We start from the raw sequence: 27,465 nt of genomic DNA on the forward strand, positions 1-27,465 counted from the left end.
ATACCTACATGACATACACTTAGAGGAAAAGATCTGAATATTCTTATTCACAAGAACAGAGGCCTGAATACAGGAACACTATGCTCACGTACACACAAAAGACACGCATGGAATAAAGCATTTTGCATATCCAGTCTTGCGCACTTACACTTTCAGGTCCTGCACAAGACCCCTGGACATCGGTTTGCTTTTCTTTGAGCCATTCACAAACTAGTTCCTCGTTCCTGGGACCGTCCCTAGTGTGGATAAAAGCCAACTTCCCACAGTCTTTGTCGGTCTTTTCAACTTTTCTCTGCTCTCGCTCAACTCCCAGAGGGCCGGGTGGCGCCGGCCAGCCGACGTCCCAGCGGTGGCCTCCCCGCCCAGCCGCTGTGCAGCGGGGCGGGGCCGAACTGGCAGCCAGGAAATGCCCTGGAGTGTGTGTCACCTGTCCAGGACGACTTGTTGATTCCCAGGAGGGCCGCCTTTCCGGTCTGGGTCCCCGAGAGGACTGCCTTGCTCACCTGTCCCCTCGGCGCGGCCCCGGGGAGCTCCCGAGAGGCCCCCGGGATCGCTGGCCCTCCGAACTCCACAGCAATGAGCAAGTTGGGCAAGTTCTTTAAAGGGGGCGGCTCTTCTAAGAGCCGAGCCGCTCCCAGTCCCCAGGAGGCCCTGGTCCGACTTCGGGAGACTGAGGAGATGCTGGGCAAGAAACAAGAGTACCTGGAAAATCGAATCCAGAGAGAAATCGCCCTGGCCAAGAAGCACGGCACGCAGAATAAGCGAGGTAGGCTGGGGTCTGGCCCACAGGCGGGAGCCCATCTGCCTCTAGCCTTTCCCTTGGGGACAATCGGCCCACACCACTGAGGTCCCCAGGTGGCCAGGTTTGCTCCTGCAGTCTTTTCTAGGAACTGGTACTGACTCTTAGGGCACTGACTAGGGTGAGTTGAGCTAGACACTGGCACTGATGGCAAAATGTAAGGGGCCGCCAAAAATCTCAGTAATCAAGATGAACAATACTTTAATGCAATACCTAAAGGACTCAGAACCAATGCCAAAAAAGAAATGATGAAGAAAATATCAAAATTTTAAATAAAGACAAGATTGGTATTGATTTTTTTCATTTGCCTCTAGCTCTTATGTTGTTATGTGCAGCACATCTTTATTTAAAATTATTTTTTATAATGTGATGATTTGTTCATCGTGGATTTTTTAATATTAATTTTGAATTTTAAAAATATTGCATTAAAATATTATTTGTCTTGATTACTGAGTGTTTTCGCACCCCTGTAAATTTTGCTCCTGGTCCAGCTTTTTCTAGGCCAGCCTTGCTGACTCCAACACTAACCATGAAGTTTTCTGCTGTATGTTTGTATATTAAATTACACATTTTAACTTGCACGTAAATCTTCAGAAAAGGATATTCTAGTACGTTGTGGTCTACCTTGCTCCTCAGCTGTGGAAAGCTTTAGCTGGATGTTCGGCAGTTGAAGTCTTAAAAAAAAAAAAGGTAGAGGAATTAATTATTAAATTTCCTATCACTGACTTTTGGCACACACAAGAGACTTTGAGTCAGTAATGATTCTTGGTGTTCCTGTTGCACCTTGAACACCTGTTCTTTGCCAGAGTTAACTGATTTCTTCAGTATACTGCTCCTTCTATTGGAATACCTCTAAACAGCACCTGTGGCACAGATAAAAACTCAGTGAGAAGTTGAAGTGATTTGCTCTTGTAACACCGGGTTCATGGCAGACCCAGAAAAGGAAGTGGCAATATCGGACTCTGCTTACCACCAAACCCAAACATTTGCACCCTCAAGTTGGGCTTCTTTAGTCATAATGAAGCCTTGGGAAGATTTGGCTCACTCTACAGGATGCTGCCATTGTTTAATGCAGGAAAGGAATGAAGTCTCAAGGAGATGAACTTGAGAACTCTGCCTCTTTCTGTAAAAGTGTGCCAGCTACATTTATGCCCACTTACCACCAACAATAAGAAGGCTGTTTTATTGCATATAACTTTTGTGCATATTATAGCCTGTTTTAGAGGTAAGTACTGATTTCTACTTTTACTTTGTGTCTGAAAATATTCTGGGAAGTTATGCAATGGCAATTTCTAAAGAAAGACCATGTCATTATGGCTTGCTAAAAATGTTGTTGGTCATTTTGCTCCTTGGCCCTTCCTCTTCAGTTTGATACACACTCTGACGTTTGCTTAGTGTCTGTCAAGGGTTTTCTTCCCTTTGCCATCTATTTGGATCTGTGTACAGCTTTGTCTACCATGGTTGCTCAGCAAATATTGGTGGTGGTTGTTGTTGTTTTGAGACAGAGTTTCACTCTTGTTGCCCAGGCTGGAGTGCAATGGCGCGATCTTGGCTCACCGCAACCTCTGCCGCCCAGGTTCAAGCGATTCTCCTGCCTCAGCCTCCCGAGTCGCTGGGATTACAGGCATGTGCCACCACACCCAGCTAATTTTATATTTTTAATAGAGACAGGGTTTCTCCATGTTGGTAAGACTGGTCTCGAACTCCTGACCTCAGGTGATCCACCTGCCTTGGCCTCCCAAAGGGCTAGGATTACAAGTGTGAGCCACCGCACCTGGCTGATGTTGGTTTTAAAAATCTAAAAAATTGACCATTTCCTTCTAGGAAGTGGTAAAAATGTAAATTTGTTTTCAAAGACAGAGTGCAAAATAATGTGGGTTTTACTGATTTTTTTCAGAGGTACTCTTCAATTGGCAATGCACAAAAATTCGATCTCAATTTGACTTTATGAATAAAGACAAAAAATTTAAAGACAGTGCTAATTAAGACTACCAATCTAACTTCCTTAAATCAAGAAAGTTATAGATGCAAGTATGAATGGCAAATAAGTTTTTTTTTTTTTGAGACAGGATCTTACTCTATCGCCCAGGCTGGAGTACAGTGGCAGGATCTCAGGTCACTGCAGCTTCCAACTCCTGGGTTCAAGTGATTCTCCTGCCTCAGCTTCCCGAGTAGCTGGGATTACAGGCGTGCACCACCATGCCCAGCTAATTTTTGTATTTTTAGTAGATACGGGGTTTCACCATGTTGGCCAAGCTGGTCTCAAACTCTGGGCCTCAAGTGAACCTCCTGCCTGAGTCTCCCAAAGTGCTGGGATTACAGGTGTGAGCCACTGCGCCTAGCCCTAATTTTTAATAGAAAAGTCATTAACTCTGTCTTCAGAAGCTTCACTGGTGTTAGTGTCTAGAAACTCCCAGAGCTTCTAGAGTGACTCTGGGAGTAAGAAGAGGCTGGTTAGCATGAGGTCATCTGTAATCTAAGCTATGGAAAGAATTCAATCTTAGGCTCCTGCGTTGGTAACACGCTCAATATCAGAACCTTCTAAATAAACCAGATAACTTCATATACTTCATAACTTCATATACATAGTTAACTGTCTTCTATTAGCCACCAAGTGATATAAAATAGTAAAATAAAACCTGATATACTTACTACTAAATGGCCCCTGTGTGGCACAATGCCATTGCTAGAATGGCTGTAATTTATATGATAATCAGGGTGACATAATTTATGTGCAATTGAAGTTTTATTATTAGAGATGGTTGGTCAGCTAATATATTCTCTGAATGGCCAGGTAGCATTATATCAGAAAAGGCCACACTCCTAGCCATTTCAGATTCTTCAAAGATCAATTTCTCTACAACAACAGAAGCTTTGACAGCATTCTAAATGTCAAAATGAGTTTTACTGGTAAAATGAAAAACTTTTAATTAGCATAATAAATGTTAGAAATGGGGCAGGACATGGTGGCTCATTCCTGTAATCTCAGCAATCTGGGGGGCTGAAGTGGGCAGATTACTTGAGGTCAGGAGTTTGAGACCAGGCTGGCCAACATGGTGAAACCCCATCTCTACTAAAAGTACAAAATTAGCCGGATGTGGTGGAGCGTGTCTGTAATCCCAGCTACTTGGGAGGCTGAGGCAAAATAATTGCTTGAACCTGGGAGGTGGAGGTTGCAGTGAGCAGAGATCGCGCCATTGCACTCCAGCCTGAGCGACAGAGTCAGACTATGTCTCAATAAATAAATAAATAAATAAATAAATAAATAAATAAATAAATAAATAAATAAATGTTAGAAACGGGATCTCACTGGTGAATTTTTTTGAGACAGGGTCTCGCTTTGTCACTTAGGCTGGATTGCAGTGGTGTGATCAGGGCTCACTGCAGCCTTGACCTCCGAGACCCAAGTGATCCTTCCACCTCAGCTTCCTGAGTAGCTAGCACCACAGGCACGCACTACCACACCCAGCTATTTAATTTTCTTTTTTTTTTGTATAGGTGAGGTCTCCCTATGTTGCCCAGGCTGGTCTCAAACTCCTGGGCTTAAGCAATTCTCTTGCCTCATCCTCCCAAAGTGCTGACAAGAGCCACTGGGCCTGGCCTAATTGGTGAAATTCTACATATTCTAAATATGTGGATTGCTAAAACAGTTTAGAGACACTTCCAATACCCTCCGCACCCACCCCATGTATGAACAGGATGAATCTACTAGGTGTGTAATTAACTTAACACTAGAATGGTGCCTGAAACTAGATCTCAAATCAGTGCAGTGTCCAGTCCTTAGTTTAGGTGGGTTTCTGATGGTGCGCACCTCTAATAGGGCACAGCACCTGCCAGGGAACATTGCTGTCTTCCTCAGTGAGCCTTTCATGCAGGGTGAATTGGAGCACCTCAAAGTACCTAGAGTTGGGACTTCATTGAGCTCATGGGACAGGTTGGCAAATTATTTTTTGTGCTTGCTAGTGTATGTTTGTTTAATAATGTATATGCAGAATTTAGTCTGAAACTTGCTTTCATTACAACTCATTACTACTCATAGTACAGGGGTAGCTACTTCTCCTCCCTTCAAATTTATCTGGCAGTTACCATCATCATCCAGCAAAAAGAATTTGAGTAAACATGAACAAATTGATTTTGCAACAGTTGCTATCCAAGCCTCTGTTGATCAAAAGAGTAACAGTTGGAGCTTGAGTTATAATTTGGTTAAAAACTTTAGGAGGCCAGAGATTCTTGAATGCAGTTTATTTAGATTACTATGCTATAACTCTTGCTTTATAGGTGGTAATCTACTTTGTGGAAAAGCTAACTTTTTATATATTATTTAATTTTTTGTTCTACTTCTTCTGAGCACTGCGTCTTAAATAGTCACCTGGATGCATGGGGCCCACCCCCATTTATTCTGATATAATTGACTGGAGTGGGGATCAGGCATCTGTTTTTTTTAAAGTGCCCCCACCTGATTCTGACCTGTGGGCCAGGGTTAAGGATGGGAAGCCTAAATCCATAGGAATGTTAATGAGATGGAAAAACAAGATCTGTTCCTATCCCAGTGCTTCCGGCCTTGGGAGCTAAAGGGTATCAATATCTCAGCACACTGCAGAACTCTCCTGCCACACTGATCTGGCAATACACACCTTACAGGTCACTATTCCAACTTTATTTATTGATTTATTTTTTGCTTAAATATAATATCCCAATCCATTTTTTTGCATATTTAATAGAAAGTATCTTGGTGTTGTAGTTAAGAGCCTGGGCTTCAAAGCAGACAGCCAAATAAAGTCCCACATTTGATTTCCATCCCTGCCTGGCCACTTAGTAGCTCAATGACCCTAGACTAATAATTTGACTTGTCTAATCCTGTTTCCTTATCTGCATAATGGCAACGATGACATAAATCCTCGGAGTTGTGGGGATGAATGACATTATTGGGTAAAGCATTCAGTGCAGTGCTTTATAAACATTAGCTCTTGGTATAAACTAATTACATTTTAAAAAGCTGTACTTGGCCCAGTTTTTGGCCAAATTTGGTCTTCTGGAATACCACCAAATAAATCTACTTCATCTGTCCTCTGAAGGCCTTTCACATATTTTATGACAGCAATCAATTCTTCAAGTCTCCTGTTCCTTGCCTACCTTTTTCACCCTCCTCAGTGACTCCTTACTGTGCTGAGGTTTTCTCACTAGGGGCAGGTCAAGGATGAGGCAGGTGAGATGCCTAGGACACAGTTGTGTGACCCTGAGAGTGAGTGCCTCCTTGCAGTTTGCCTCTTTTTCCCCCTCATCCTAGTCCTAGCTCTATTGCTTGCCATATCCCAGGCTTAGCAGTAACTCCAAATATGTAAATATGTGAAAATGAGTGGATCTAGTCTGGGGTGATTTGTAGGCTGATAAGGATTAAGGGTTGAGATGGAGAGAAAGCAAATTTGGCCAAAACCCCTACTCAATATCATTACACACGATTCCAGTGAAAACTGGGTTCAGAAGCTGTTCTACCTCTTCATCAGGTGTCTGTTTGGAGAAGTGAGTCTCCAGGACAGAAGTCCTCTATTGAATAAGCTCTCTCACTTTGAAGCCTGGGCTGTATTGGTAAGGATGAATTTGTTTTCAGAATCATGATGTGGACTTGATCTTCTTTGGAGAGAAGGAGTGTGCACAATCCCACTCTTAGTTCAGTGGGAAGAACCTCCTCGGTCTCTTAATTTTGCTTTTTATCATAGTTGTCATAGAGCTCAATTCTGCAGTCCTCAGACACTGCAGATCAGAAGGACATCTGTGTAAAGAGATTCAGCTAGTTGAATGTCAAACTAGTGATAGCAAAACCATGGCTCAGGTAAAACGACACAGCCATGGACTGCAAGAGCTTGATGGAAGTTCCCCTGGGAGATATAACTTACCTAGTAACCTCCATTCTTAAGACAATCTCTCAAAATGTGATACTCAGATCACCTGCATCACAATTCCTTCTGTTTATTTCACTCATAAGTATTCACTAAAGATTCTAATTTTGTAGGTTAATTATAGGGTCCAGAAATTTGGACTTTGAACAAGTAACTCAATGACTGCTCCCCACTTTGAGAATTTATGAAGTATTATTCAATAAGCTGTTAAACTGGAAGGGATTACTCTCTATTTATTCTATTTTCTTCCTCACCCATTCGTACTTTTTCTCCCTTCCTCTATCATCACTCAGATAATTGGATGAAATATCTATCCACCTTTCCCTCTGCTTACTCTTTTTTTCTTTTCCCTTTTTTTTTTTTTTTTTTGAGATGGAGTCTTGCTCTATCACCAGGCTGGAGTACAGTGGCCTGATCTCGGCTCACTGCAACCTCTGCCTCCCGGGTTCAAGTGATTCTCCTGCCTCAGCCTCCTGAGTAGCTGGGACTACAGGTGTGCGCCACCAAGCCCAGCTATTTTTTTTTTAATTTTTAGTAAAGACGGTTTTCACCCTGTGTCAGACTTATCCAGTATTCAAATTAGAATCAGTCATTAAAATACATTTCTTTGTGTGCCTTTGATTTTCTGATTATTTTGTACCATACTCGGTATTCTAAGGCCTGGGGGATTGTGGGGGGGGGTGGAAAAAAAAAAAGTCTTATCCCTGGGGCATTAACAACCAATACCTAGGCCAGATCTTACTCTCCAGTCAACTACCCCTCTCCTGGAAAAGATAGATCAATGGAAACATGATCCTCCCCTCAACCTTCATCCCTAATTTCCCTCCCTTACCAGAAGCTCCACTTGGGCTTTCACCCCACAGTAGGAAAACCTGAGACATGGGCACCTAGCCCTGGGAACCCTCTTCACTTAAGTTGTTGTTTTAAACTTTGAGCTTCCCCACTATCTCCCTCTCTTTTCTGAGCCATTGCAAGGATCCAATATAGACTAACACTGCACTTGCACCCTTAGTTACTGGACAGCACAGAGTGGCCTGGGCTTGTTATTTATTTTGTTCTGTTAATACTGTCTCAATTTGAATATGATTTTTCAGATACCCATTTCACTTGCCTTTTTCCCATTGGATGTGGAAAGAGCTAAAACTCCCAGCCAAATTATTCCCCACACTCCCGTGGAAATCAATATGTTCAGCTGCATTTAGTATTTGACATTTATTTCTATTAAATGTCCTCTTATTTTCGGTTGTTTTAGAATTAAGATTTTAATTCCAATTTTATTGTCTTATATGCAAGCTATTTCTTTTAGTTAAATTAGCCACAAATTTGACCTGCAGCCTCTATTGTTGTTGTAGAAGTTGTTGTTAAAATATTGAATAAGACAGAACCAAGGACAGAACCTTGGCATGCCACTAGAGACTTCATTTCAGGATGGCCTTTGCATGATAGCAACCGTGTTTCATCCGCTGAGGCGGCAGTCCCCAACCCTTTTGGCACCAGGGACCAGTTTCATGGAAGACAATTTTTCCATGGCTGTTTGGGGGGTAGGGGGAATGGTTTTGAAATTAAACTGTTCCACCTCAGATCATCAGGTACTGGATTATCATAAGAAGTGCACAACCTAGATCCTCGCATGCTCAGTTCACAATAGGTTTCTCGCTCCTATGAGAATGTAATGCTGCTGGTGATATGACAGGAGATGGCGCTCAGGTGGTAAGGCTTAATGGCCTGCCGCTCATCTCCTGCTTTGCAGCCCAGTTCCTAACAGGACATGAACCGGGGTTTGGGAACCCCCGGAGCTAAGGCATAATCCCAGTTTGACAGATCAACACTCAATGAATTCAGATGTTCATCTAGCTATAAATACACCTGACCCACATTTCTACTCCTTATCATCTTATTTCTCCAGCTTTTTCTCTTTTATTCAGCAATGCCCTCAATATTCCTTCTGAATAATATTCCTAAAACTGAACTGTATTTACACACCTGGGGTTCACAAATGCTGGCTTCTGAACTGATAGCGTGTTACCTTCATCAGATTCTCTGGAGAGCTTTTTAAAAATGCCACACCAGGAGATTCTGTTTCAAGGGATCTGGAATAAGGTTCAGGATCTTGGTACTCAAAGATGGGGTGATTTTGAAGTGTGTAATGCTTGGAGGCTAGTGGATGATCTACAGTTTTTCCTTGAGTCAGTATCCAGCAACCAAAAGAAAAGAAGCCTATGAAATTATTTTGGTATTTTTCATAGCTATGAACTCATATTGGCTTAGGGTAATCATCATCTTCTAACTCGTCAGAAACTGGAGTATTTTTGTTCTAGAATTTTGCTTTTAGTGTGTGTGACACAGTTTGCTGATGGATTGTAGCAACTTCTAGAAGAGCAATTGCTACTGTTTCTTATGTTATATAATATTACATCTAGTTTTTTTTCATGAATTTGGAGCAGTATTGTAAATATTTGAACATTTATCATTATTCATTTAAATTCCACAAGGATGAAAGGCACCACATTTGGGGAAATATTTACATTAAGCAAATAATATAATTCCCTTCATTTATACTATTTTACAGTTTATTGAGTCAATCAAAATAAGGTAGAATAAGTTAGAAAAGGTATTACTAACACCATGATTATGCCAAAGTCATAGGATTTACACAGTTACAAGGAATTATGGCAAGAGAGTACTGTGAGCTTACCTACAGATGTGCTTAGTACTACTAGTTTATTTCTCAGTACTTAGGACCACTTATTTCAGGTGATTTTTTAAGATAAAAGTACCAGATACTCTAACCAGTGATAAATAAGACAAGGGATCTAATACTCAGTTAAAAAAATTATAAGGTTTGGCTTTGGGGGTCAGCTTTGGAATGGGTAAGAATGATCTATTTTGACATTCGTTTTTTGTACTATGCCTAAGTACATGTGAATCTATTTGTACTTTTAAGGAATAAAATTATCACAGAACTTAAGATATACAGATGATATTGTTGATTTATTTTTAAATGCCACAGTCTCATCTGCTTTAGTAAACTTAACTAGTTTCATACTTTTCATGCCTACTGGTAATTTTCGTTTCTCCTACCTTTTCTGCTTATCATTTGAGAGAAGTTTTAACAAATACACAGTTAGTTTAAAAGTTTGCAGAAGAAGAAAAAATAAAATTAAAACAAACAAAAGTCTGAATTAAATATGAAACATACAGTATGCCACTCTTTGAATAATTGACTTTTCCTGTACTAGACATTTTGATTCTTTACTTCAAGCAATTGGTGCTGATAGGGAATTGCTTGTTGGAAAGATTTAGGACCCTGTCCAAAGCTTCTAAGATCATGGTTTAAAGCAGTAAGAGCTATTATACCTAGACCAATGGCTTTTTTAACCACTGCTAAGCCTTTTTGCAGGTATTTCTCATTTGTAGGAATTTCCAGGTAGCTAGAAGCCCCCACTACTATCACTCTGCACAACCTCCAACATCTCTTCCCCAATCTAAGAATCTAGTGACTTAAAATACCAACACTGTAATCACTACTTGCAAAACAAACAAGCCCCAAAAAAGCAAGCAAACGAGAATGGTAATTTTAAAATTACAGGCAAGGAAAATAGGTCATTCTCTGTTAACAGTTGGGAAGCCTTGCATTAAGAGTTAAATTCTTGATTTAAAAATTAAAATTCAATGTCAGCTATCTAGCTTAAATGAAATAAAGTTTACATGTGTATGTTTAACCTAGATGGAAATTTAGAGGAGTAAAATTATGCAACTAAACATTTAAGAAGTACTTTGGACATTTTATTCTTTATTTAAATATGAAGTCTTAGTGAATCTTTTTGGCTCTATCACATGGTGTTATATGCTACGTAGTCATACTGGGTGCGTCTTATTTGCTGCAGCAGTAACGTTGTTTAACAGGCCTTGCTCACTTAGCAGTGCTATTTACATTATCATTTCTTTCCATATATTTAATATATATAAAGTGAAAGTAAATATAACCTTGGAGTTTGAACAAAGATATTATTGTAACTCAAAACTTCTACTGTATTAACTGTAGAAAAAAAATTATGATTATGGTCAACTAATTTGCAAGTATTTCAAAGACCCCGTATGTAAGAGCCTATGCTTTATCATTTTGTGAGCAGTTTGAAAAGGTTTATTTATGAAAACTATATTGATTTGTTGGTGTTACTTGTATTTGAAAACATTAAAGAATAGTATAGTTCATCATCAATTTCAAGGTAAATCTATTCTTAAAGAATTTCAAATACTAACAGTTAACTTGAGGAGCTATATATTTTTTAAGATTTTTTGACGTTAGGGGCTCAAAGGAATAGTCATAGAACCACAGACAGTGAGAACTGAGAGGGGCTAAAGGAATACAGTTTGCTGGTTCTTGAACTTCACGTGTTAGAGCATCTGCAAGCCACAGGCACAGTGCTATGATATATTGCTGCATAAGATGACTAAGGAATACTTTTTTACAAGTAGATAATTGAATCATATTAAATATATACATAATATATTATATATAATAAATTACATCTGTAGGTACACACATCTACTTTGTAAAATTAAGCATAATCAGCTATTTCTGAGTTTTTCTGTTAAATATATAAATATGGCTTCATACTTATACTTAAAAAATATTCTAGATGATAACAGGCCCCCAAAATTTAACAATTTGTGGGGTTATTAATAACACTAGCAGCAAATAAAAGACTCATTTATTCAATTAGTTATATATTCTGACTGGTATCAAACAATTAATTAGATTTTTACAAAGAATATAAAATAGATTTTAATTAGTGTATTGGTATGTTGGTCAAATATGTTAATTTCTCTTGCCCAGCAATTGACTTCTGAAGCAATTAATTACAAGAGATGAGAATTTTAGTGAGTATTTAAAATAAGTCTTTTATGCAAGCATTTCTTCCTTTTTTGACAACTCAAGGCACTTTTAGATCATGAACTTCCCTTCTCAGATTTACCTTTTTAAATATTCTCTTGCGTGATATCCTGGTAGCAAGAATTGCCTCATCTTCAAAAACAACCTCAAGCTCTTTAGAATAAGGAGCATCATTTCTGTTGGAAAATAACCTTAATTTCCTTTGCCCGTTTGCTGTCTCTCTGGAGAAGAGAGGGCACTGATCAGCCAGCCTATTTTTCTCCTCTTTTATACTTTATAGTATTAATCAATCACCTTGTTTAAACACAAAATTCAGTCCAAAGTTACTAGCTTGCTTATAGCAATATTGCACTTCCAAATGCCCTTAGAATATCTCTTATTTACTTTCTGCAATCTCATTCCTTTTTACTGCTTTCTCAGGCATCTGCTTTAGCATTATATAATCCTATATATCACTGTTGTGTGTTGGTCTTCTTCTAGATTGCTATTTACCCTCCATGTGACATTTAATATTGATGAGACCTCCAAAAATATGGAGGTTACATATAAGATTCAGCTGCTGTGGCAAGCAGGAGTGCAAATCTTTAAAACGAAGATGTGCTCTATATTTGAGGCTTATAGTTCCCAATTTCTAATATATCTCAGACAGAAACTTTTCAGTGGTATGAGATTTGTAGTAGGAGAAAGGGTTGGGGGTGGAAGGAACCCATTGTGTAATACCTTTTTCATCATTCATGTTCTTTATTTATCAATGTGTTGAGTATACATATAGACAGTCACTGGGGACTTTATCTACATAGAAGAAATGTAGCCATATTTCTTTCCATATATGAAAAGAAATGGTAATGTAAATAGAACTGCTCACCGAGTAAGGCCTGTTGAACAAGGTTACTGCTACAGCGATGTCTGTGAAGCCTTCCCTTACCCTCCAGAGAGAGCCTGCAAATTACTCTGGGTACCCACTGCACCTTGTACATATCTCTTCTTATTCTCCTCTACATCTTCTCTACTACTTGAGGTAAAGAATGTAACTTACACACGTTAGTATCCCTAGGAACTGTGCCTATAGCATAGTAGGTGCTTAATAAATGCTTACTGAATGATGAATAGGTGATTGCCCATTTCATATTTTGTCTCTCTCTGAGACTGGAGCCTTATTTCTTTGTCCCTCCAGTGCCTAACACAGTGCCAGGCATGTCATAGATCTTTAATACATACTTGTTAAGTGACTGAAATGAATGAATAAAGGTATTTTTTAAAAGTAAAGACGTTCAGTGAAATTCATAATGGGATGCCTCTGGCCAAATGCGTGTTAAAATTTTCTATTTCCCCAGTTGTTTTCAATCTAACCTGTGACATTGAGCAGATATATTTTGTTTTTTTTCCATTTGGGAAATGTCTATGATGATGCTTATTCAGATTGTGCTTTTTGAAAACCAAAACAATGTGCCATAAATTGAAGGTATTGTTTAATTAATGAGGTGATTTGTATATGAGTAAGAACAGGGCTTACACTAAAGTTCCTCAAATAAAACATGACCACGAGCCTTCCCAGTTAAAAGCAAAAAATGACATAAGCAATTATGTGTGACATGTCTCTTAAGCATTCTCATATCTGGGCTTACTCTTTAAAGCCTCATCTTTTAGCCCTTCTCTAGAGATCATTCCTGGGACAGAGAAAAGCTATTATAATGCAGTTTCACCTTTCAAAAACAGGTTTGTCTGTGTTCACTGGATATGATGGTTCCTAAAAGGTTCTTCCTGTGTGCTGACTAATGGATTAACAATGTGCACATTTATCCACCCCAAAGGAACGAAGAACAGGTTGACTTTTAAAACCAAAATGTCCTATACATTACATGAGCAATGAAATTGAAACTCTTTTCTGCTAGTTTAAATTATTTGGCATAAATGACTGAAAGCCTTCGTCCCTTGGCAGCATAGTGGAGTTGCATAGGAATAGTTAAATTTTGGTTCAAATGGATAATTTTTGCATTTTAGTTCCAATCCCCAATGGGCTGCAGTAAGGACTCTTCACGTATCCTGCTAGCAATAGTACATAAACGACATTGTTCGGCAACTCCAGTGCTGAAGGAACATCACTGTTATGCAAGGAGACAAAACCCCTGGCTGTTTCTCTACCACAAAGGAATACAGTAGATTCCTTTGTCTTAGAAAGAATGTTGTCCAGGTCTCATCAGCTGCTTAAAAGCACATACAGGAGTTTGGAAGATTGAACTGCACCTTCTACACAGGTTAAATTTCACGGCTCTGAAAATGTCCTTTTTGGCCAAATCAGTAACAATGCTTGATTTGCAGCATTTGTTGCATGCCTTTGAAAAAATACAGCTGCTTCTTTCCCAAGTTGTTTATTAGGGAACAAGGTTAAGGCCTGTCCAGCTCATGATGTATCAGTGGCATCATCGTTTCATATAAGGAACAGCTCACTGAGAGACTCACATACACTTCTTGGTTATTTAAAACAAAAGCCTCCTGTCTTAATGTTTGGGAGAAGCTTAACGTGCCAGGCAGAAATCATAGTAAATGTCAGGTATCCTAGGACCTGATCCAGCCATGCAGAAGTTACTGGTTTCATTCACACAGGTTTTTAGAAAAATGTAAAATAGCATGTAAAAATTGGGGAATTTTGCATGGAAATCCAGATGTCTTGCTTCTTTTGAACACATGGTAGGCTGGGACTACAGGTCTGCAAGGCAGCCTGGCACTGAATCCCAACAGTGCTGCTTCCATTAGATCAGGTTTATGCTCCCAGATCACTGGGGTCTCCAGTTCTTCCTCTTGACTCCCTTATACTGAGGCCAGTGTCTGTTGCTCTGTATTGCCACCATTGCACTAGTTTTTATTTTTATAGAAGAGAAACAGTTCTCTCTTTTTCTTTCTTTCTCACAGGAGAAAAAACAAAGAAGGACTTTTCCCTGACCTTCTAGCTGCTTCACTTAATTTCATTATCTGCCTGGCTCCCTCTGAGTTTGGGACTCTGGTTGGGCCAACATGTAGTGTGTGGTATGGGAATTACAGTGTAAGTTGAGATCCCAAATGTTGGTGAATTTTAAAAAATTTCCCAAATATTTTGAAAAGCAGAAACCATATGCTAACATAGGTGTTTAAAATTATGTCCAAACCAGAACTTATTATTACTAATGACTAACAATTGTAAGGTTCAGTGTCATACCATGAGAGTCCCACCATGTGGTTCTGACAACCTACAAAGGAAATGATGATGATAAAGATCCCTAATATTTAGTAATCACTCACTATGTGCCACTGAACGAAACATTTTATGAATGCTATTTCATTTACTTCTCAACAACTAAATGAGTTATATCTCCATTTTTCAGTAAGCAACTTATGTAAAGCCACATAGCCTTACATGTGAATGAGGGAGCCCAGATTTGAAGGTAAACAATCCTAGAGCATGATGTTCTATTGTTGTCTTCTAGGTACTGTTGTTCTTGTCATGCAGGTGAGGGAACATCACTTAAAATGAGTACAGGTCATGCATCACGATTATTACACACAGGTATTAAGTGGTTTAGGTAGAATTAAAACATAGGTCTAGAGCTTCAGAGCTCCACCCTTTATACCAAATTGCTTTTCTAGATTTTCAGAAAGTTATCTAAAATTAATTTTTACTAAGAAATATGACATATTTTTAAATGGAGAACTTAAAAAAGTTGCTCAAAAAAAAAAAAGAGTAAAGCCTTAGGGTCAATGGGTACCCGTTCGGTTCCAAATATGTATAGGCACTGAACCAGCCTGACGAGATAGGGAAGACATGCACTCTGAAGATTCCACTTCCGGGTATGTTGGGTGGGGATGTATATTTAGAGTTTAGCTTCATAGGATACTCTGCTGAATAGTACTGTTTGTTGTACCTATTGAAATGTAGAAATGTTTTGTAATATTATGTTTCTGTTATGATGAGGTATTTTTGGGGGACCTGCCCCAAAAATCACATAGGTTCTTTTCTATTTTCCTAAGCATCAGCTGGCTTGAGAAATAAAGGGACAGAGTACAAAAGAGAGAAATTTTAAAACTGGACGTCCAGGGGAGACATCACACGTTGGTAGGATAGGTGTGGGTGACAGACATCAAGTACTTAACAGGGTAATAGAATATCACAAGGCCAGTGGAGGCAGGGTGAGATCACAGGACCACAGTACCAAGGCAAAATTAAAATTGCTAATGAAGTTTCGGGCACCATTGTCATTGATAACATCTTATCAGGAGACAGGGTTTTGAGATCAACCGGTCTGACCAAAATTTATTAGGCAGGAATTTCCTCTTCCTAATAAGCCTGGGAGCGCTATGGGAGACCGGAGTCTATCTCACCTCTGCAATCTCGACCATAAAAGACAGGTACGCCCCGGGGCGGCCAGTCCCGAGACCTACCCATAGGTGCGCATTCTCTTTCTCAGGGATATTCCATGCTGAGAAAAAGAATTCAGCGATATTTCTCCCATTTGCTTTTGAAAGAAGAGAAATATGGCTCTGTTCTGCCCGGCTCACTGGCAGTCAGAGTTTAAGGTTATCTCTCTTATTCCCTGAACAATTGCTGTTATCCTGTTCTTTTTCCAAGGGGCTCAGATTTCATATTACACAAACACACATGCTGTACAATTTGTGCAGTTAACGCAAATATCACATAGTCCTGAGGCGACATACATCCTCCTCGGCTGACAGGATTAAGAGATTAAAATAAAGACAGGCATAGGAAATCACAAGGGTATTGATTGGGGAAGTGATAAGTGTCCATGAAATCTTTACAATTTACGTTTAGAGATTGCAGTAAAGACAGGCATAATAAATTACAAAAGTATTAATTTGGGGAACTAATAAATGTCCATAAAATCTTCACAATCCATGTTCTTCTGTCATGGCTTCAGCCAGTCCCTCCATTTGGGGTCCCTGACTTCCTGCAACAAGGTATGGTAAAAACAAATAGGTAATTTGTTATGCGGTAGTCTCAGAAATAAGATATGCAAGCTTAGGGCTGGGTGTGATGGCTCACACCTGTAATCCCAGCAGGCCGAGGCAGGCGATCACGAGGTCAGGAGATTGGACCATCCTGGCCAACATGGTGAAACCCTATCTCTAATAAAAATACAAAAAATTAGCTTGTCATAGTGGCGCATGCCTGTAGTCCCAGCTACTTGGGAGGCTGAGGCAGGAGAATTGCTTGAACCAGGGAGTTGGAGGTTGCAGTGAGCCAAGATCGCGCCACTGCACTCCAGCCTGGTGACAGAGTGAGACTCTGTGTAAAAAAAAAAAAAAAAAAAATGCAAGCTTAGTAATTATGAATGTTGTATAAATTGCTACTATTTATTTAGTTGCTACATCCCTATCATTCACAGGGACTATATAAGGTGTTTTCCATAAATTATCACTAATTCTTATAATCACGCAGCCTGATATAATCACTATTTCCAGAACAGCAAACTAAAGCTTAAAGAAGGGATGTGACTTGCCCAAGAACACACATCTGTGAAGTCATGGAAGAGGGATTTGCACTCTGGTGTTGAAAGGCCACACTCTTTCCATTATATCATGCTGTCCTTGTTCTATGTGCAAAATTATCAAATTTATTCACTAATATCTATTCATTTTATTTCTGTAAAATGACCAATATCTACTCTTGGGATTCTTGTGAGAATTAAATGTCATAAATCACATAATGCACATAAAGCACTTATCACCAATTGAACATATGGCAAATGCTCCATAAATGTTAGTTTTTGTTATGTATTTTGTTGGCCAGGTGCCAGGAAATGGACAAGGTGCTGGGGAAACAGGTAAATAAGATGCTGTCTCTTTTCTCCAAGGGCTTATAATTAGGCATAGGAGAGGTGAGGTAGGATACATTTTAGACATAATTCTACTATAGTGTGATAAATGCACCAGCAGATACGGAAAAGCAATTTGGTATAAAGGGTGGAGCTCTGAAGCTCTAGACCTACGTTTTAATTCTACCTAAACCACTTAATACCTGTGTGTAATAATCATGATGCATGACCTGTACTCATTTTAAGTGATGTTCCCTCACCTGCATGACAAGAACAACAGTACCTAGAAGACAACAATAGAACATCATGCTCTAGGGTTGTTTACCTTCAAATCTGGGCTCCCTCATTCACATGTAAGGCTATGTGGCTTTACATAAGTTGAGTTGGTCTCAGATGGAGATGAGGAACTTGTTGGATATTGGAGTAAAGGTCACTATTGCTATGCAAAGAGACTGGAGGCATTTTGCCCCTGCCCTAGAGATGTGTGGAATTTTGAACTTGAGAGAGATGATTTAGAGTATCTGGTGAAGGGAATTTCTAAGTGGCAAAGTGTTCAAGAGGAAGCAGAGCATAAAAGTTTGGGAAATTTGCAGCCTGATGATGCAATAGAAAAGAAAACCTCATTTTCTGGGGAGAAATTCAAGCTTGCTGCAGAGATTTGCAGGGAGATTAAAGAGGCTATTACATCTATAAAACAAGAATAGGCTGCCATTAAAAAATGAGCAACTAAAGAACAAGTTTTTAGAAGTTAGAAACATAATCTTTTAAAAAAGGGTAAAAAAGTAGAATGAATATAGCTGAAGACTAAATTAGTGATCTGCAAATAAAGTCAAGGAATTCTCCCAGAACATAGATCAAAAAGACAAGGAGGGCTGGGTGTGGTGGCTCACACCGGCAATCTCAGTACTTTGGGAGGCCAAGGGGAGTAGGATTGCTTGAGGCCAGGAATTTGAGACCAGCTTGGGTAGTATAGCAAGACTCTGTCTCTACAAAAAAATTAAAAAAAAAAAAGACTCCGTACAGTGACATGTGCCTGTAGTTGCAGTTACTCTGAAAGCTAAGGCAGGAGGATTGCTTGAGCCAGGAGTTCAAGGCTGCAGTGAGCTGTGATTGTACCACTGCATCCAGCCCGAGTGACAGAGTGATACCCTGTGTCAAAACAAAAAAATATATAGGACAAAGCCAAAGAATACAATGTTCATCTTATATTATAGGCATTTCAAAAGAGAGAAAACAGAATGTTTTCAGGGTGTGTGTGTAATTGTATATATAATTAAATAAAAAAATACAAATTTCAGAAGATAGTAGACAGAAATACAGAGGAGAAAAGAGTGATAAAAGAAATAATAGGATACAATTTTTTCAAGCTGAGGGAAGATTTGAGCCTTCAGACCGAAAATACTCACCGAATGCTCAGTTGGAAAAAGCAAAAAACAAAAGATACATACCTAGATGCATACCAGTTAAATTTCCTAACTCCAAAGTGTAAAAGAAAGTCTTTAACATTTTTGGAGAGGAAACAAGAAAAGAGATTATTTGCAAAGGGATGAGGATAATTTTATTATCAAACTTTTTAAAAAGTTAGCTATTAAAAGATAATCTTTTGAAATATTTTGAACCTAGCATTCTGTAAAAATCCAAACTGCCACTCAAGTTTGAGGCAAAATAAAGACATATTCAGACTTATAGGCATTCAAATAATTTATATCAATGCACCTTTTCTGGAAAATATAATACTGTAAAGTTTTACTCCAGTAAAATAAAGAAGCAATCCAAGAAAGAGGACAATATAGAATACAAGAAGCAATAGTAAGAAATTTATAAATGATTGCTAGAATTGTGTCTATGAAGCTTATGATTGTTAAAATTGTGTCTATGAAGCTTAGGGCAATTGTTAAGAAAGATTTCCTTAAAATTGGAAAGTATAATAAAAAAACTCTATGAATCATCAGGAACTAATAAAATTGCAGATGATTTCAATCAAACCTTTCAGGGTTTGGAGTGGGAAGGGAATCTTATTTGGGAACAATAAATTATAGATACTGATTAATTTCCTTTCAACATAGAAGAAAACTTGTTTAATTATATGTGTCTTAAGGGTATCCATTAAGAGAAAAAATTCAGTATATACAATTGCCCAACAATTAAAGGGAAAAAATGAACAAAGACAATTTAATCGATCTACATAAAGACAAGAAAGCAGAAAGAGAACAAAAAGCATAACAAACAGAAAACACAAAAAAGATGACAATAAAGAAACAGTACTGATAGCATAGCAGTTACTACAATAAATGAGACTGAGTGAAAATCTTACATTAAGTAACAGAGACTATCTAAATGGGTCAAAAACAATCATAAAAACTAAACACTCATGTAGCGAAATATAGGTGTCTTTAATATGTATATAAAAATAGAATAAAACAATGTTGAAATAGTGGTCTATGTAAAAATTTTTAGAGACAAATTGTAATAAAAAACTGGCATATTAACTTAATATAAAACAAAATGGAATTCAAAGCAAAAAAGAATGAATGGGATAGAGAGTAATACTTGATTACAATAAAATCCACCAAGAAAGTATAATGGCTGAGTCTTTGTGCACCATGGAAAAAGCACTGGAATGAATCAATCAAATTTGTTGCAATTACAAGAAGAAATGGACGAAAACAGTTAGAAGAGAGACTTCTCTCCAAAATCTCTGTTGTGATAACTTACCTGCTTTACTTTGAAACCTTAAAACCATTTGAGTTCTTTTGCCAATTCCATTTAATTATCACTTATTTTCGTATTAACATTCTGCTGCTGCTCTTTTCCTGCTCTCTCCCTAAATGCATTATCAAAACAGATATTTTAGGGCTTTTTTTGGTTGCCTTCCAAGGTGCCACAGTCAAGAGGGCTCTACTTGTTTGGTGGTTTTAGAGTGAGGCAAGTTAGGTTATCTTGTTAAAATGTTAATGGGAAGATTATTTGGTTATCATTTCTCTGAAGGCCCTGCTCTTTTCTCTCACCATTGTGCCATCTAATCCTTGAATACAACTCTAGCAGTGCTGAATTCATGGATGCTCACGGTTAGATGTAACCTCAATAGCCATCTCAAAATCATTTCAGACCAAGACATACAGCTCAGTATTCTGAGTTCTTATTGCAGCTACCACTAACTGTCTGCCTTTAAGCAAGTCACTTCACTTCTCTGGTCTCAATGAACTTGCCTTTAAGAAAATGGGGCTAGAATCAAAGGCCATTAAGGTCTTTACGTTCTCTAATGGTTTACTTTTCTATTGTATGATTTTTACTCATATTTTTATCTATCCTTTTCTAAAATCTGACATTGACAAAACATTTCTTTGGCATATGTTTTGGAATAGGAAAACTGACTTTCCATCTGCTTATACTTGCCAGATCTTTGGAAGAAAAGAATAATAAAATGTTGGAGACGGTACTAGTTGGTATAGGTAATTGAGAGGACAATATGAGTTGTTTATTTCTCAGGTTTATTTTGGTATACTCGTTGTCCTTAGTTATCAGAAGGTCTAAGTCCATAGTGGTGCTGAGCAAACATCTCTTGATTTAGTGTCTCTTTCTCTTTCCTAATAAATGTGGCTTCTCTCTTATTTAGCTGCATTACAGGCACTAAAGAGAAAGAAGAGGTTCGAGAAACAGCTCACTCAGATTGATGGCACACTTTCTACCATTGAGTTCCAGAGAGAAGCCCTGGAGAACTCACACACCAACACTGAGGTGTTGAGGAACATGGGCTTTGCAGCAAAAGCGATGAAATCTGTTCATGAAAACATGTGAGTGACTCTGGTCTCCCTCTGAATCATAAATTCCCTCAGTGTTGGGAAGAACCTTTGGAACCATATGATGGTTTTGGCAGGAATGGGTTTACTCATTTGAGGCTCTTTGACATGTTGAATAAAATACTGTCTCAGAGAAAGATTAAAGGTTATAGCAACAACAACAAAAAAGACCATGAAAAAAGAAAGGGCATTCATTTTTCCTGTAATGTTTCCCCATTACTTTATGATTGCTGGAAACTGTACCTGTAAATATTTTAATTCTACAGTTTAAAAAAGGCTTCGATTTCAACCTGTGTGAGGGTGTTGGATTTATAGGATAGTGGCTGTCAAACTTTGGAGGGAATCAGAATCACCTGGAGAATAAATAAAGAGAACACAGATGCCCAGGCTACTTGAACTTGCAAAGTGTTTGGGTCCATGTGATTCCGATGCTAACCAATGTCTGAGAACCACTGACACAGAAGAATAGTCATGAGCATGGATTTGGGGGTCAAATTTTCTGGGCTATAATCCCAGGTCAACTGCTGACTATCCCTTGGGCAATTTATTATACTTTATTCAGTTTCCTTATATGTAAATTAGAGATTATAATAGTACTTACTTACCTCGTGGTTATTGTGAGATTCAATGAGATACTAGATATAATGCACTTAGTATAGTTCCTGGCACAAAGTGAGCACTCAATAATTAATATTCACAATTTGCTTTACATTCACACTGGGAAATATGTCTGGGACCGGATCCTTTCCTGATATTGGATGTGATAGTGGAACCTGGGGCAAGGATGCACAAGAGCAATGAGTGCCTAAGAGATGCAGACAAATTTCTGTAGAGTGGGAAAAGGTGAAAAAGGTGGTGGCTGGGGGCAGTGAAGACAACTTTGCTAACATTTTCTTTTCTGAATAATTCATTAACAATCAGCCTCCATTTTGACAGCTTCAGGTAGACATTAGATTCATTATCAGAGTCAAAATTCTCTATTGCTTTTGGATACAAAAATGTGTCACAAAATCAGCCTTTCCCTCCAGGCAGCTTGGCAGCATCATACCATTGTATTACATTTGAGAAAAATTTGTTCCCAGGCCCAAAGTTGAGCCATACATTTTTTCATATTCCTTTTAAAAATATATTTGTTTTATATTCAGTATAAATAGAATAATAAGGTTTAAAGATAAGGGATGGTCAGAGGGAGGTAAAAGTATTCTTTTTGATTATTGCATGAAAATATGTCAAAATAGCTCTTACAGAGTCAGGGAAACTCACAAAAAAATTACTTCCACTGGGAATCAAACTTTTGGTATTTAGGCTACTTAATAATGAGGGACATTGTCAGTTCTCTTATATCCAATCAGTTTGGCCTAGTTTCAGAGTTGGAGGAATTACTCAGAGATAAGCTACTATAGAAACATACCAGAACCTGGCATGTAGACACCGACATGCTTAGGCGGGTGTTTAGGAGCCAGTGAAGCTCAGGTGTTGGAAAATGTCTTCAAAGTGGCTGTCCATCCTGAGCAAGTAGCTACCTAGATTTATTTGCTGCAGTTGCTAATTCTTCTGAGGGCTGTATAGGTTTAATCCTGCTCTCTTTAGTAACCTCTCAGGGCATCACCGCTATGCAAAAACCCTTGGGGAGCCAGGATTTCAGAGCTGCTAAGTGTTACAAAAAATAGATCTCTAGACCCAGTGTTTAGCTTCAACAAAGGGCCGCTGTCAGATAGGGGCTCCTAAAAGCTGCCAAAGCTCATCTAGTTACAGTGGTCCTGGTGGTCTGTGGTAGTGTTTCCTGCAGAGTTGATACACAGCAGCATGTATTTAAATTTGTCATATGCCCTATCAGACAAAATTTCAAAATGGGTTTACAAATAGTGATAGTTATAAAATACTTTTATTTTTAGTGAGTTCCAAATGTAATAGGTATTTACTTAATGTTTATAATATATGGATTATTAAGTTTTTAAAATATAAGTTATCTTTAAAGTTTATAAATATCATCAGGAATATTTATCCTACTCAAATAACTAAGAATTTATATTAAATGAACTGACTTTTTATATAGGATTATATCTAAATTCATAATTATAAGTTAAAATTCTAAAATGTTCAACAAAATATGATTTCCCAGGGATCTGAACAAAATAGATGATTTGATGCAAGAGATCACAGAGCAACAGGATATCGCCCAAGAAATCTCAGAAGCATTTTCTCAACGGGTTGGCTTTGGTGATGACTTTGATGAGGTACGTAACCCAATATGAAGAATGCAGGATTGTGGCTGCTATAAAGAGTAGCTTCCTGTCATATATAGTAGGCATGTTCCCTTACTACTGAAAGAACAAGTGATATTTGTAAGAAAGGTACTTCTCTTAAGAGAAAAATAAAGTGTTAGTACCTCTGATTTAAAGGAAAGATGAATACAGTTTGGCAAACAGTGGCCTGATTAAGTTTTCAGCTATTAAGGAAAGAACAGCATGTGATTGTGTAAAGTTAGTGACTTTTAGTGGTTGAAGCCTAAACAGCCCCATTACGAGGAACTGAGTGCTTGCACATCTGGGCAAAACAAAGTAGACTTCGTCATTCTGCATGAAACAGACGTATCATGCTCTGTAGCTGTTAAATTAGAGGTTAGGCTGCCTCTGTTTATTACTCAGGCTATGAAACCAAATAAATGTGGAGTGGCATTATTAACACACACATTCCATTTAGATTAATCAGTCCAATAATACAGACAGACTATAATTATAATGGTGATGTCTGCACTGTGAATTTCAATTGTTCTGCTCAAAGCACACACAAGTAGGACTAGTACACATTTAGAAACATTTCCAAAGCTTGGATTAGCATGGCAAAGAATCCAACTTCCTGCATCTATGTGATATTAAAAATAACACATTTAGCAAGTAAGACCTGGTTCCATGGAATCCCCAAAAATGAGAATGGGGTATCAATACCTTTTAAAAATGGTGTAGACAAGGGGTCAGCAAAAATATGGCTTGCAGGCCAAATTCTTCCCGTGACCTGTTTGTATATCCCAAAAGCTCAGGATGGGTTTCACAATTTTAATGTTGTAGAAAACAATAACAACAAAGGAGACTATGGGGCAGAAGAAAACATGCAGCCTGCAAATCCTGCAATATTACTATTTGGGCCTTTACAGAGAAAGTTTTTCAACTCCTGATGTAGACTAGTAAGCATCTAGTGAGTACATTATGATATGGTGGAAAGGAATCTGGGCTTATGTGGACATCTGGGCTCTATCATTTGTTAAAAACTTTGTGTAAGTCTCTTTTACTTTTCTGACTGTTAGTTTTCTTATCTGTGATAATGAAGATTTTTGGATCCCTGGATTATCTCCAAAACATCTTAAGTTCCAAAATTCTATTCTCAATGGTCAAATTAGTGTTTGGTACCTAAAGGATGAAAATGATGGAGGAGATGATTACTCTGTTGTTACCATATTGCTAAAGAAAACATTAATATGTTTCTGCTGCTGTTGATAACGATGATGCACTATTGGCAATTGTGGGCATACATTCGGCATAGGATAGCTTGTTCTGCCATTACTATATTTATGGTATTTGTCCCTGATTGTTTTGTGAGCAGAAATAGGACGCCAGGGTATTCATTCTGTTCCATTTTAGTCATATAGCCTGTGGAGATCCATCAAGTACACAACTATATTGACTGTGCTATTTCATACGGCCCAATGCTATACACCTTCATATTTTCTTCCCTTTTTATGAGGCGAATTTAATAGAGGTCAGACAATCTTTAGCTTGCTGCAATTCTGATACCCACTGACTTAATCAAATGTTGTGGTTGGCTTAAATATCTTCTCTCTTTCCCCACAGTGTTATTACTCTCACTTTAATATTGGATAATTATTTGTTTATGTGCCTTCCCCCCACATTTGAGTGTAAGCTCCTTGAATATAGGGAGTGTTGATTCAACTTTGCATCCCAGCACTGAGTTCAAAATCTGCCCAGGAGTGAGTGCTCAATGAATTTGTTGAATAATGAATGAATGAATTCTCTCATTCGTTATTCATCCATGAAAGAAAAATCTACTTGGTTGAATATAAGGTGTCCCAAGTCATTTCTAATAGTGACAACCTCATAATTCCATCAATGACAAGTTCAGTTGTGACTCCCAAATTCTCTCTGAGAGGGGTTGGACTCTACTTCAGGACTTATGGAGCCAGTGAGATCTGAACTATCTGAGTCATCTCAGAATTGGCATAAGGTGACTTACATTTTTAAGGTCTCAAACTAGCCTTGTCTCTCAAAAGTTTTTGGGACAGAGAGTAGTTTAAGATTAAACCAGGCTCTCTCGGACTATTGCTAAAAGAAGGAAATACAGTATACCTATCTTGAATTGAACTTTTCTTAACCCAAATGCACAGCATAATTTATATTGGCTTTGGTGATTTGATAAAAGAACCATAGTATCTTTAATTCCTTTTACTTTCTGTACGTTATGGTTTTGCTATACCTGTTGTTTTATTTTCAATCGCATTAGCCCAAAGAAAAACATTTATTTCCACCAGTTAACATTTTGTGGATTCTAAACAGTAGAAAAGAACACATTGGAAAGATGACAGACAAGGTGTAAGTTTCCCAGAAACTGTGGGGAGGTTATATATTCAGCTAGCACAAATTACTTGAATGGCTGTTTACTGAAGTATTAGAAGATTAACTACAACAAATTTGCACAACCCAGAATATTCATTTTTTAATCATTGCTCAGTGTTGCAAAAAAGACTTAGTTTTAAAATAAATATTCCATTTCACTGGGTTCTCACATATCAATTGGGTAGCAGATGTTCTTGTTATTGTGTTTGAGGAAACCCATGTCTTGAAACGTTAACTCCATAATTCTTCCTTTCTCCTGTGTTCAGGATGAGTTGATGGCAGAACTTGAAGAATTGGAACAGGAGGAATTAAATAAGAAGATGACAAATATCCGCCTTCCAAATGTGCCTTCCTCTTCTCTCCCAGCACAGCCAAATAGAAAACCAGGCATGTCGTCCACTGCACGTCGATCCCGAGCAGGTCTGTTACCCAGCTCAACTACATGTGGTCAGATAGTTGCCTAAAATGATAGCCAGGCCCATTCTTTTTAGCACATGTTTTTGATTTCAAACTGAACACATTTTTATATGTAATTCATACCTGTTTTCTATGCTGAAAGTGTGAATGTCACCAATTACTAATTTTTATCTATTTTATGTTCCAGCATCTTCCCAGAGGGCAGAAGAAGAGGATGATGATATCAAACAATTGGCAGCTTGGGCTACCTAAACTAAAACACATTTTTGATACCTAAATTAATGAGCTATAGATAAAATATAAAAAATGTTTTTACCAAGTTCAGAAGTTAACAAAGACTCTGCTTTATAATTATATTGAATGAATAATTGTGTTTTAAGCCTCCTAAGTAAAAGTAAAAAAGGAGTCATGTGCATACATAGAATCAGTGATGGAGGCCAGGCACGGTATCTCATGCCTATAATCCCAGCACTTTGGGAGGCTGAGGCAGTTGAGACCAGGAGTTCGAGTCCAGCCTGACCAACATGAAGAAACCCTGTCTGTACTAAAAATACAAAAATTAGCCGGACATGGTGGCAGGCACCTGTAATCCCAGCTACTTGGGAGGCTGAGTCAGGAGAATCGCTTGAGCCCAGGAGATGGAGGTTGCAGTGAGCCAAGATCATGCCACTGCACTCCAGACTGGGCAACAGAGGGAGACTCCGTCTCAAAAACTAAAAAAAAAAAATACATTTAGTATAGCGGGGGGTGGGGGGGAGAAATAATGTTATTTCCTATGCGAATGACGTGTATCCCTGTACCCATGGTAAATGTAAATATACTGTGTCTCTTTTGGGAGAGCCTTTTAGTAGAGGAGTCTTATATGAGTCTCTACATAAGTAGTTTCACTTGAGTTTTGCAGTTTGAAATCTTAAAGGAGCTTTAATTGACATTTATTATACCAATTAAGCTTGGAATGGGGCAATGGATGCATTTCCCAAAACGTGTGAAAGCACTAACAGCTTATATTGCTGAATGAGAATCTCCTGGGTGTAATTTAGCCACTTAGGGAACTGCGTGAACACTCCCAGGCCATTATGATGCTGTTACAGCTTCAGTGTATAAATGCATGAGTATTCTTTCTGTTCTGTTTTGTGCTCTCTTGTACATTTATTTACCCTTTACAGAATATTTCTTGTAAATACATAAAAATATTGGCAATTAAAAGTACATCTTGAATAAAA

At 38.3% G+C, this 27,465-nt stretch overlaps 1 protein-coding gene across 1 annotated transcript; it reads left to right on the top strand.

Annotated features, from left to right (window-relative positions):
- The first annotated feature begins 397 nt into the window (after window positions 1-397).
- CHMP4C (charged multivesicular body protein 4C) lies at window positions 398-27,465 on the top strand. Its single transcript, NM_152284.4, has 5 exons — window positions 398-766; window positions 21,014-21,191; window positions 23,320-23,434; window positions 26,092-26,245; window positions 26,430-27,465. Exons 1-5 carry the CDS (start codon window positions 577-579, stop codon window positions 26,492-26,494), a joined length of 702 nt encoding a protein of 233 aa, NP_689497.1. The 5' UTR covers window positions 398-576; the 3' UTR covers window positions 26,495-27,465.

Source organism: Homo sapiens, chromosome 8, assembly GCF_000001405.40.
Source record: "Homo sapiens chromosome 8, GRCh38.p14 Primary Assembly".
Classification (NCBI taxonomy): domain Eukaryota; kingdom Metazoa; phylum Chordata; class Mammalia; order Primates; family Hominidae; genus Homo; species Homo sapiens.

Excerpts from the sequence above, each read along its gene's own strand:
- CHMP4C (NM_152284.4), top strand. The coding sequence starts at position 577 with ATGAGCAAGTTGGGCAAGTTCTTTAAAGGGGGCGGCTCTTCTAAGAGC. Across the intron at positions 767-21,013 it reads CGGCACGCAGAATAAGCGAG|CTGCATTACAGGCACTAAAG; the intron begins GTAGGCTGGGGT and ends TCTCTTATTTAG. Across the intron at positions 23,435-26,091 it reads TTGGTGATGACTTTGATGAG|GATGAGTTGATGGCAGAACT; the intron begins GTACGTAACCCA and ends TCCTGTGTTCAG.